The 12,886-nt window shown below is 37.4% G+C and overlaps 1 pseudogene across 2 annotated transcripts in view; it reads left to right on the top strand.

Annotated features, from left to right (window-relative positions):
* Positions 1-12,886, top strand: part of CMAHP (cytidine monophospho-N-acetylneuraminic acid hydroxylase, pseudogene) — a 57,326-nt pseudogene that overhangs the window by 23,983 nt on the left and 20,457 nt on the right. Inside the window, exons 3-7 of one of the 2 annotated variants that reach the window (NR_002174.2) lie at positions 628-818; positions 4,307-4,454; positions 4,829-4,910; positions 5,697-5,834; positions 7,916-8,051. The product of NR_002174.2 is annotated as a cytidine monophospho-N-acetylneuraminic acid hydroxylase, pseudogene, transcript variant 1 (transcript). Of the gene's footprint in view, positions 1-627; positions 819-4,306; positions 4,455-4,828; positions 4,911-5,696; positions 6,438-7,915; positions 8,052-12,886 lie in introns of those variants that run through there. The other variant, NR_027626.1, reaches the window with a different exon arrangement.

The following is a 12,886-nucleotide window of genomic DNA, read 5'->3' as shown; positions in this document are numbered from 1 at the left end:
GAGGAATTGGATTTGGAATCCCCATGGTGCCAGTCTCTAAGTCACTGTTTGTGTCCATTCTTAGAGGACCTTGGCATCCAGAAGGAGTAATTATTTAACAGGTAATTTAGAAGAGAAAGTCTTGCAAGCCTGTTCAGCCAGTTGTCAGTTGAGTCTGCGTGGCTATGCCAACCCACCAAACTCACGAGAATCATCCATTCATATTGCTCTTCACAGCCACTCTGGCATTTAAATCCCCAGATGTTTGTGATAACATCTCTAACTGCCTTTCCTTGTAAAGTATGCTTTAAAGGACTGATCACAAAATATATTCTTCAGTGTGGACTGTAAATAACTGTTTAGGAACTAATTTAAATAAACTAAAACTAGGTAAACAAATTGATTTGTCATCTAAAACTAACCATGAGAATTTATATTTGAATAAAGTCATGACCTGTGCTGGGAACCGTGTTCTATGAAAGGCTCTTTTTGGAATGTATTTGAGTCCAAGATTTTGCCTGATCATGCTTAGAAGCAAAGTACTCCAGCCTGTGTACTATGTCAGCCACCCAAACCAAACATTTCAGTTCATTGTTGCTGACCAGTAATGAACGATTCAGTAATAGGGATCTCACTCTCTTTTAACAGATAACATATCTCACTCATGCCTGCATGGACCTCAAGTTAGGAGACAAGAGAATGGTGTTTGACCCTTGGTTAATCGGTCCTGCTTTTGCCCGTGGATGGTGGTTGCTCCATGAGCCTCCATCTGATTGGCTGGAGAGGCTGTGCCAGGCAGACCTCATTTACATCAGTCATCTGCACTCAGACCACCTGAGGTAATGAAGTCCTGAGCACACAACTCCTAAGCTCATGCTGCAGGAAAGGCATCAAATGTTCTCCGATTCTTTTGCAATCACTGCTCACTTTGAAGTAGGTTCAGTTGGGATGATGAAAAAAGGACTAATTAAGATAAATATTTACATTTGCATAGAAAGTTTATACTTTTAAAACTGTTTCTAGAAAGACAAATATGGTATGTTCTAACTTATAAGTGGGAGCTAAATAATGTGCACAAATAGGCGTAGAGAGTAGAATGACAGACACTGGAGGTTTAGAAAGGTGAGGGGGTAGCAAGTAGGTGAATGATGATAAATTGTTTAATGGATAAAAGGTACATGATTAGGATTAATAATGCTCTGATTTCACCACTGTGCAATCTTTGGTTGTAACAAAATTACACTTGTACCCCATAAAATTATACAAATAGAAAAGCATTTCTACACTTTACACCATTGGGAGTGAGGAAGGAGCTATTGTAAGGAAGATAGGGGAGGATGAATAACCGTCTCACTTCCCACCCTAAGGCAGAACACATTTTCTATAAAGGGCCAGAGTGTAAATATTTTAGGCTTTGCAAGCCATACAGTGAGAGTTGCAACCACTCAACCGTGCTGTTGTAACCCAAAGGCAGCCATAGATGGTCCTGAATAAGACTGACTGTGTTCCAATCAAATTTTATTTATGGATAATGACATGTGAATATCATATAATTTTCATGTATTACAAAATATCATTGTCCTTTTGATTTTCTTTACAACCATTTAAAAAGGTAAAAACCATCTCCTCAGCTGTGGGCAAGCTTCAAAAGAAGAAAGAAGCCACTCTTAGCTTGCAAGGTTGTACATAAACAAGTAGCAGCAGGTTGGATTCGGCCCACACATGGTTTGCCAAGCCCTGATTTATAGTATCCTAACACTAAACACCCAACGTAGTAATCCTGACTGAACCTCACCCAATGTTTCATTGGAACCAGAGTAATATGATACTAATGATAGCAACTGAAATTTTCCCTGACCCAGACAATTAAAAAGGAGGGAGAAAGGAGGACTTTAAGTTAAGAAACCACACGTATTTGCAAAGGTACTGAGCTATTAGAAGAGGGAAGCTCATATTCTCAATTCCTTTGCTTAACTATAGGGTCATATTTCTTCATCATTATTTTGAAATTTGTATCACTTCTGCTAGATTGCCAGTATAAACACACAGCAATGCCCATAATGTGCTACTCAAGCAATTCGACTTTGTTTTTCTGTGACCCTACATGACAAAATGGTTAGGGATAACATGTTGGTTGCTGGTTGACTGGCCCCTTGATATTTTATTCTAAAGCATATGGGAACTCTAAAGTGTGGATATGCTCTGATTTATTTTTCAGGGAAGTGTTTGTTTTTGTTTTTGTTTTTGTTTTGTTTTTTTGAATTAACTGATTTAGTAACAAATTGCCTGCAACATATTTCTTAACTGATCACAACCCCCTAGGATACTGTGGTACTACAACTAAAATTCTACTTTATATGATACCTTTGTCCCACACTACCTCCTGGAACTATACTTGCATAATTTCAGGATTACAAGAGCCCTGAGTTCATTTGTTGTACAATAACAGTAAAGTGTGGTAATAATTTTATATAGCTTGTGTAGGGACAACAGCACATAAATGATATGATCGCTTTATAGTGTCTAAGATACAATTACCTAAAGTCTTAATGAGAGACATTCTATGGGAACACACTAAATTTAAGAAGGGTAAGAACTTTCAGGGAGGGTAAGAACTCATTTAGTTGAGTTATTCTGTAACTACTGTCCTGAAAACCAATTTAGTTTCATTTCAGGGGCTTGTGTGGACAGTTGTCATGCATTAAAACAACAGTTTTCAACTATAGTATCACAACACATTGGTTGTGCAGTGTGTTGCAGATAGTTTATTATTGAAAAGGGGCCAAAGCCTGTGATTTTTACTCCGTTGGGTCTATTTCCTTGATAGACCCTTACTTTTCGACTCTTGCCTAATCAACTAATAAACATCAAGATTGCTTGTCCCCGACCCTTCTGTCTGACCTTTATTTACTGAATAAAGCCTCCCTGGTTTACAAAAAACAAGGGAAAAGGCCAGTGTACTTTGGTGGATTGCCAGTAAGAATTATTAGCAATTGAAAAATCCAAAGCAATGAACATCCATTTTAAAATAACTTACCGTAACTCCCAAAGTCCTTTAAAATGCAGGATTTCGTTGCTGAACCCAGAGATTGAAGGTACATTCAAAGAATCATTGATTTTTTGAATCTTTTGTTTTTTGGGGAGAAAGGTTGTTGCTCCCCTCACTTCCTTCCAGATTCTACTTATTTGGATAGCTTTTAACGCAATGCTGGAACTTGAATATTAGTACAGCCAAGTGTTGATATGCAGATTTTTAAAATACTTTTCCTATGATTATATATCTTATTTTACCTGATCTTATACTCTGTGTACAAGTCTGATTCTTAAACCAGATAATATGTTCATTAAAGTTAGAAACTTTCTTCTTATAGAAGAAGCACTAGGTTTAGAATCAGAAAACCCAAATTTGAATACCAGTTTACTGTGTGTTGTATATTTCTGAATGTTTCCTCATCTACAAAAACAAAAAATTCATAGCTTTTTGATAAGAATTGACTAACATAGTATGTAAAACTGCCCCAGCACCAAGTTTGAAATATAATAGATGTGTAATCATTTGTTTGTTTATTCAACTTTCTACCACACCCTACAGTGGTATAATAACTCTGTTATATAATGAATGCTCAATAAATAAAAGCCGACTTAATATGTCTAGATAGTCAAAAATACTTGGATGATTGTTGTGCACTGAGTTGGGATTACTACAAATGTTGGATGTAGTTCCTCAACACTAAATTTTACTGTCTTGCCTAGCTGGTAATTCTGTCCCTCCTTAAGGATGAATAATATAGTCTGTTAAAGTGTGGCTTTAATATACAAAATATATTATTTATCCTTAAAAAGGGACAGAATCTTTGAAGGTTGAAAAACCAACCCCCAAAATGGTCCGAGACATGGGCTTTTGTCCTGTACTATGTCCCAGTCCTCTCTCTTACTGAGAGCTACTGCTTGAAGCATGCAAAGAAATGAGGATCTCCGTGATCTTCATTTCTTTCCTCTACAGCATGACTTTTTCTCGTCTGTGCCTACTGTTAGAACTACCCCTCCTTCAAGCAGCATCACTGTGGAAAATGGAACTTACCTACCTGGTTGATGTCCACACCATGAGCATTTGATATGTTCTAACAACAAAGATGAATCCCCTCAGAATCTCCCGTCACTTTCACAGTCATCCTTGAACAGAAACTTTTCTCTGGACTCTGGTGAGAGTCCAGTTTTTCAATTCCTCACTTCTCTGTCAATATGTTGGTATAAGGAACAAACTGTCTGTCATACTAGATGACACTATTTTTTTCTCTTTTCAACCTTTCCATCTGTCTTATCCTAGTTACCCCACACTGAAAAAGCTTGCTGGGAGAAGACCAGATATTCCCATTTATGTTGGAAACACAGAAAGGCCTGTATTTTGGAATCTGAATCAGAGCGGTGTCCAGTTGACTAATATCAATGTCGTGCCATTTGGAATATGGCAGCAGGTCAGAAATCTGCTTTCTTTCCATGCTTTCCAGTTATGCTTTCTGTGATGAATGTTAGGTGAGATAGTCACCGTAAGATTAAGGAAAAAATGGGTCAATGTGGTATGTCCCTGATACTGCATAAACACAACCTCTATTTGTGATTCAAATGTTAGGCAGACTGTCCTGGGCAAAGATGATTTTCTTTCTATTAACCCATACTATTATAGTACAACTCTACAGAACAGGTAATAAATCTAGTTCTGAATAAGGAAATTTCTTCAAATGTGAGGTTCAATTGACCAGTCTTTCCAGAACAGGTGATTACCTTCTCAAATACTGAATTAAAAACCAAACTGAAATTCACAGTTGTTGGTTTTGTTGTTAAATTCCAGGTGGACAAAAATCTTCGATTCATGATCTTGATGGACGGTGTTCATCCTGAGATGGACACTTGCATTATTGTGGAGTACAAAGGTATGTTTTTATCCCCATTGATAACGAAAAATGGAAAACATTCTTAATAGGAAGGATGGTAATATCTATATGAAATTTCATCACATGTTCATCTTTTAGCTCCATTTTGAAAGAATATAGCGTGTTATATCCTTGTTCTAGAAATATGGAGCTATCTTTCAAATAATTTTTCCAGAAAACAAATTAGAAATAATGTCATCTAGATAGTGACAGGAGCAAAGATTTCTTTCATAAGGCAATAGATATTTTACATTCCACCTATAGTGATTTCTTCAAAACTACATTTATTAAATAAATGTCTTTTATTACTTTCACCTAGAAATATCATGTAATATAATCATGCACTGCTTTTCATATGAAAAGATGGCCTTACTGCCCCAACAATCATTTGAATATGAGCTTTGCATGTAATTTGCAAAAGGTACAGGGAAGTATGTTAATCCACTTTTTTCTGATCCTTTGGGCTCAACACCTGGAAAAAGTTGACAGAAGAAAGCAGTCTATCTATGAGCTAGAGTGGAATTAAGATAAAAGTCTTCATGAGACACCTAGTATCCACCAAGTCAAATGGGATGAATTTAGTCGCTTGAAAATTCAGAAAATATACTATTGAAAGCTTTAAGTTTTAAAATCTTACTGTTTGTTTTTCCTTTGATATAATCAATTCTTCTATAATCAAATAAGTTCAATTATACAGACTGTATACAGAAGTCCTTGTCTTGGAATTCAAACTATGGGTGTTCAAGATTTCACCTTGAATATCTATACCTCTTTGTTTCTCCACAGGTCATAAAATACTCAATATAGTAGACTGCACCAGACCCAATGGGGGAAGGCTGCCTATGAAGGTTGCTCTAATGATGAGTGATTTTGCTGGAGGAGCATCAGGCTTTCCAATGACTTTCAGTGGTGGAAAATTTACGGGTAATATTTTGTATGAAAGTGATACCAAGTATCACGCATGGCACATTGCTAAATGCTGTAAGAGTAAATACAAATGTAATTGAGACATGATCCCTCCCCACAAGAAGCATGCAATCTTATTGGGAAACCAGATTTGTAAGTTGCAGATTACCAACTAAGGTTTCTAGCTCAAAACATGATGGAGCATGAAGGAAATGTTGAGATCTGAGAGCACCTCAGGAGGAGCCAAGAAAGAGAATCATCTGGATTCACCATGTAGACCGTAGAGCAGAACAGGAAAGGCCTGAAGTGGGTCATCCAGGCTTAGGTGCTCTTGGAATATGGTTCCTAATGGGGTGTGTGCAGCCTCAATGTAGACACATCCCCTTGGCACTGTGGATGCTCATATCAGGGAGCAGTGTGCCCAGAAGAGAGTCCTCTAGTTGGGGACCTCTAGTGCACCCAGAGGAGGGTCCTCTGGTTGGGGGTCTTAGGCAGGAGCCCTTCTGCTCTGGGTCCAAGAGTGGGGTTGGGGTTGACATTGGGGAAGTGTGTATCCTCAACACTAGTATTGTAAGTGCTCAATACATGTCCACTTAATAAATTAATGTATCTGATAAGTGATCCCTGTCTAACAGTGTGGCAGAAAATGCCCTGCTTTGCAATATGAAGATAACCTTTGTCCCGTTCTTTGCTTTCTTCTCTAAGTCTATATTCATTGCCTCCCGGAGTGTGTAACCACATGAGAAATAGAGGGAAGGTTCTGTCCTTAAGAAGTTAAAAGTGTGACTGGGAAGGTAAAACATACTTATTAAGGGTTAACTAGCATCATGCCATTCTGTGTGATGGTGAGTTTGTGTGTGTGTGCACATGTGCGTGAGTACACACATATACATTTAAAAAGGTCTTGAATATACCAAAATATTATGTCTAGGTGATGGGTAGCTTGTATATTTTTTCTGTATCCTTGTCTGTGTTTGTCAAATTTTATAGAAACAATAACAGTAACAGCTCTCTGACCTTCTACCCTGTATGTTCTGCGTCCTGTCTAATTCCTCAAGTTCCTTCACTGCCTGTCACTCTGATGCTTGCTATATATCAGCCCATCCTGCTTTTTGTTTCTTAGACCCAAAGTGTCAAGTGCACACCTGCCCTGGGTCTTTGTGTTTGCTGTTTCCATTTCCTGGAGTGCAGCTGGCCCTGATTTGCATGTGACCAGCAACTTTTCATCTATGTCTCAACTCAAATGTCACCTCTTCACTGACCATCCTGTCTAATGATTCCCTCCATCTCATCCCACTCACCCCAGCCACTCTCTGTTCCATTGCCCTGTTTTATTTTCTTCACGGTGCATCATTCTTTGCAATGACTTTATTTACTTGTTCATTATTTGCTTCTCTCACTAGAATGAACACTCCATGAGAGCAGGGACCTGCTTTGCCTTGTTCACCACTTTATTCCCAGTGGCTAGAACCACGTCTGACACAGAGTAGGTGCACAATAAATATTGGTTACGTGAATGAATAAGCAAATGAACGGCACTGTGAGAGGGGCATCATGACTCCATTTACAGAGAAGATACAGACATGGAGAAGTTAGGTAGTTTGCCCAAGGCTGCCCAACCAGTAAGTGGTGGGTCAGGATTTTCAACCTAACTGACTCCAACGTCATGCTCTTAATCACTGTGTATTTGTCAGATTATGTTGAACACACCTGTTATAATCTACAAATATAATGAAGCCATTTTCATGTTAGTAAAGAGTTAATTTCAAGAATTACAATGCCCTTAAAATGTGCATGCACACCAACTACGATTATGCATCCTACCCTGTGTATTCAGCTAGGGTCCGAATGAATTGCCATATACAAGGAGAAAGCTCAGTGCCTTTGGCTGGCTTGGTAACATTTTCCTAGTAACCAATTGAAATTTCCAAGATAAAAACTCCGGGGAAATCCTCCACTAATGACATGGAGCCTTGTTCTATTTCTGCCTTAGTTACCTATCAATTTTATCTCCTGAAAGAGTTCCAATCTGCTAGAACATGTGTTTTTCTGTGATTTTTCCAGCAGAGGAGACTCTAATCTAAATCCTGTCATTTCAGAGGAATGGAAAGCCCAATTCATTAAAACAGAAAGGAAGAAGCTCCTGAACTACAAGGCTCGGCTGGTGAAGAACCTGCAACCCCGAATTTATTGTCCCTTTGCTGGGTATTTTGTGGAATCTCACCCATCAGACAAGTATGGCTAGACACTTTGTACATTTTTACATACAACTTAACGTATGGTGGAATGAGCGACTTTGCTGTGAAAGCAGTGTGACATGAGAAGGAAAGTGATTAGTAGGTGTCTGGAACTTTTTAACAAGCTGCTGGAGAACCCAGAGCATGAATAAAAGTTACACTTGGCAGCCAGGAACTCTTTCAGGAGATAAAATAACAGATAGATATTCTCCGAAAGGATCCCAGGAAAGAGGATGGCAACTGCCATTTATTATGTGAAGTGAACTGGGGACTTTTAACTAAGCCATCTAAGTTAATCTCCCAATAGCACTATGCGTAGGAAGGGGGTATTGTTCCTTTTTTGCAGATAAGGAATCTGAAACTCAGAAAGGTCAAGGGACGTGCCCAAAGTCACCCTGTTGGAAACATGAGTTGAGAATGGAACCCTGGTATGCTTAGTTCTAAAGCTCTTTTCTCTATACCATACTGCATTCCAGAATAGAATTATGTCTTTCTTCTCATGTTTTAGGTATCTAATGTGATTTTTCTTGCAGCAATATAACTTCTGCAAATACTATGAATCATCACCAATGTATGAAATTGTTGAAAGAAATAAAAGACCATGAATTTGATCTTGTCCCCTTTGCCAATGCTCAGTTAAGTCAAGAAAACCTACATGATTAATTTCAAGATTTTCTTGAAACAAAAGAATTGCTTGCCAAATATGCAGGAATCGAAGATAAAATCTGGCAGGGTAGTTTGTTTTTTAATCTGATATCACAGTGCCTATGGAAAAACTCATTTTGAATCTCATCCTAAGTCTGACTCCAGCGTCATGCTCTTAATCACTGTGTATTGTCAGATTATGTTGAACACACCTTGTATTTGAACACAATGAAAGGAAAAGCTTAATTGTGACTTAGTTACACGGGAAGAAATATTTTATTAGGTTCCTAGAGCTGTTGTAACAAAGGAACATAAACTGGGTCATGTAACAAAAATTTGTTACAACAGCCCTAGAAACCTATTACAATTTTTGTTAACAAACGTTTGTTAAGTTCTAGGGGTCAGAAGTTTGAAATAAGGTGTGGGCTGAGCCATGGTCCGTTTAAAGCCGCTGGGGAAGGATTGGTTCCCGGCCCTCTCCCAGCCTCTGGTTGCCTCAGACACTCCTTGGCTTGTAGATGACCATCTTTACTCTGTCTCTTCACATGGCATTTTCCCTGTGTGCCTATCTGTGTCCACATTTTCCTTTTTTTATAAAGACATCAGTCAGATTGTTTTAGAGCCCACCTACATGACCTCATTTTCACTTGATTACCTCCATAAGGACCCTGTCTCCAAATAAGGTCACATTCTGAGGTACTAGGACTTAGGACTTTAACATTTCATTTTTGAGGGGAAAACAACCCATCACACGTATTTATATTAAAATGGAAACTTTTCATGGCACCAATTAATAACAGTTTTATACATTTTTAAAAAACCAATATGCAGATTTTATTTTTAATTGACAGCATTAAAATTGACTGCAAAGTTGAGTAAAATTTGAAGAATGTTTCATTAGTATTGATAATTTATAGTTGAGTTTTGATTTATGTAATACCCCTTTGAATTCAATGGTAATATTAATGAGTTGACACAAAAGTTAGTGAATTTACTAAACTTGGACAGGCATAGTTTTGAAACTGTTATGCTTTTGCTTCAAAGCCAAATCAGTTCTTCTAAAAAAAAATATGAACCAGTTGTGTCAATGTGGATTTGAGTGCTACATGAAAGTACATTTTTAGTACTTGCTTCTTTTTATTGGGAAACTTTTTGGGTATGTGTGGAACAACTTGAGCATGAGAAGCTACTTTTTGAACTATTCATTTTATAAGATCTATAGATCAAGTCTTTCTGATGAAAATGTAGGATCTAAATTGAGATGTACTCTGTTTAAAATATACATTGGATTCCAAAGACTTGATAATGCAGAAAAGAATGCACAATATCTCAATAATTTTTAAAAATTGATTTCATATTAACATATTTGGATTGAGTTAAGTAAAATCTATTAATTTTACCTGTTACTGTGTACTTTTTTAATGTTGCTACTAGAAAATTTAAAATTACACATGCTTGAATTGTATTTCTGTTGAACAGAGTTTAATAATTTTTGGCATCATAGACCTTTTAATAGAGTAAAATCTTAGCTGTATAGAACTTCTGGGAACTTGGGCATTCTAAATAGTGAAATCATGCTAGGTAGCAAAATTTTCTGGATAGGTATAGTTTATCTCTCTAGATGTGAAAATTTTATGATTTAGGTATAATTGTCTTCTCAGAAAGAGTATTAGAACATAATTGATCTTTTCTTGATATCATGGATTCATCATTTCAAAGTTTTAGAATGTAATGTAACAGCTTGATGTTCCTACAGTTCACTGGAGGATGTTATAACAGGATGTGTTCTAGTCCATTGAGCTGTTTGCCCCTGCACTAAACGGCCCCAGGCAGTAAAGCATTATATCTGCTCGTTACAGTTTTGCTAAGTTAGTGATCATTCTTCACTGCTGTAACAAATCTTTACCAGCAGTCTCAATCCTTCTCTTTGATTTGCTGCTTCTAGCCACCTAAGTAATTAAGTCAAAAATTAACTTACTTTCACTTTTTGTACATATGCTTATGAGAGAGGCCCTGAGCAACTCTCCTGGTGAAGGACTGCTAGAAGCCTCACTCATAGATGACACTCCAAGGAAAAAGAATCATTTTCTCAAATCAAAGCAATTTCGGTTCGAATAATACGAAGAGAATCCTTGTTGCAGTCTTTTCTCTCGCTAACCTCTCACCACTTTGCCCCACAAGCATATGCAGTTTCCAGAACATGCACAGCAGTACAGGGAAATCGAAGCCCTGGCTTTTCAACCAGAAGATGAAGGGGATACCTGGGAAGCAGAAAATCATGGAGAGATTTCAGATAGGAGGAGGCTTAGGAAAGTGAGCCCATAAAATTATGGATAAACTCCTGGGTTAACTCCAAAGCTGCACTGTGTGTGTGGACCTGACCCTAAAAAGGATATCAGAGTACATATGCTAAAAACTACAAAACAGATGAAAGAAATCAAAGACTCTAATTAGATAAATGGAACAGCATACCATATTCATGAATTGGATGTTCAATATAGTTCATATTTTAATTATCCCCAAATTTATAGATTCAGTACAATGCCCATCAAAATCCCAGCAGGATATTTTGTAGATCTAGATAATGTCTAAAATTTATAGGAAAGGCAAAGGAATTAGACTAATCAAAATAATTCTGTAATAGAAGAATAAAATTAGAGGAACATATTCTCTAATTTTAAGATTAGCTATAAAGCTGCAGTAATCAAGATAGTGTGATACTGGTGAAGGAATAGACACAGACATCAATGGAACAGAATAGAGAATCCAGAAATAGATCCACACAAATATGGCCAATTGATTTTTGGCAAAGATGCAATTTGGGGAAATGTGAATGAAAAAAAGGCTTTTTTTTGGGGGGTGGGGAAGGATTCTCACTGTGTCGCCCAGCCTGGAGTGTGGTGGCGTGATCTCGGCTCACTGCAGCCTCTGCCTCCACCTCCCGGGTTCAAGTGATTCTCCTGCCTCAGCCTCCTGAGTAGCTGGGACTACAGGCACACACCACCACGCCCAGCTAATTTTTTGCATTTTCAGTAGAGATGGGGTTTCACCATGCTAGTCAGGATGGTCTCAATCTCCTGACCTCACAATCCACCTGCCTTGGCCTCCCAAAGTGCTGGGATTACAGGCATGAGCTGCAAGCCACTGTGCCCGGCCCGGAAAAAGGCAATTTAATGGAGAAAGGGTAGTCTTTTCAACAAATGTTACTGGAGAAATTGCACACCCATACACACACACACAAAAAAACCTACCTCGATCTGAACCAAAAAAAAAACCTACCTCGATCTGAACCTTATGTCACATGCAAAAAGTAAGTAAAAATGGATTATAGATATAAATGTTAATATAAAACTATAAAATTTTTAAAAGAAAATATAGGGGAAATATTCCTGACCATGGGTTAGGGAAAGACTTCTTAGATGTTGCATCAAAAGCATGATCTATTTTAAAAATTAATATATTATTCTTTATCAAAATTTAAAATGATTGCTCTATAAATAGGAAACTATTAAGAGGATGAAAAGGCAAACTATAGACTCTGAGAACATTTTGCAAATAGCATACCTGACAAAGAATTTGTATCCAGAACATATAATGAACTCTCAAAACTCAGCAATAAGACTACGATTTAAAAATAATTTTAAAAATCAATAGTAAGAAGATTTAAAAATTGGCAAAATATTTGAACAGATACATCACCAAAGAAGATATATGGATGTCAAATAAGCATATGCAAAGATGCTGAATAGCATTAGCCATTAGGAAAATGAAAATTAACACCACAATGGCATAACTATTAGAATTAATGGCACTTTGGAAAATTGACAATACCAACTTATGTCAAAAATACAGACCAAGAGGAGCCCTCACACTTTGCTCTTAAGGATGCCAAATGGTGCAGTCCTTCTGGAAAACGCTTTTGCAGTGTCTTTGAAGCTAACCTTACTGTATGATCCAACAGTTCCACTCCTGAGTATCTGCCCTAATTAAATTAAAACTTTATTCACACAAAAAATCTATATGCAAATATTAATAGTAGCTCTATTCATAATCACCAAATCAACCCAAATAGCCTTCAACAGGTGAATGGATAAACAAGCTCTGGTATAGTCATACAACAGACTACTACTCAAGAATAAGAACTGCTGCATACAACAGTGTGGATGAATCTCAAAGGCACTGTGTTGA

This window comes from Homo sapiens, chromosome 6, assembly GCF_000001405.40.
Source record: "Homo sapiens chromosome 6, GRCh38.p14 Primary Assembly".
NCBI lineage: Eukaryota > Metazoa > Chordata > Mammalia > Primates > Hominidae > Homo > Homo sapiens.
This window is presented reverse-complemented; position numbering and strand designations above follow the sequence as displayed.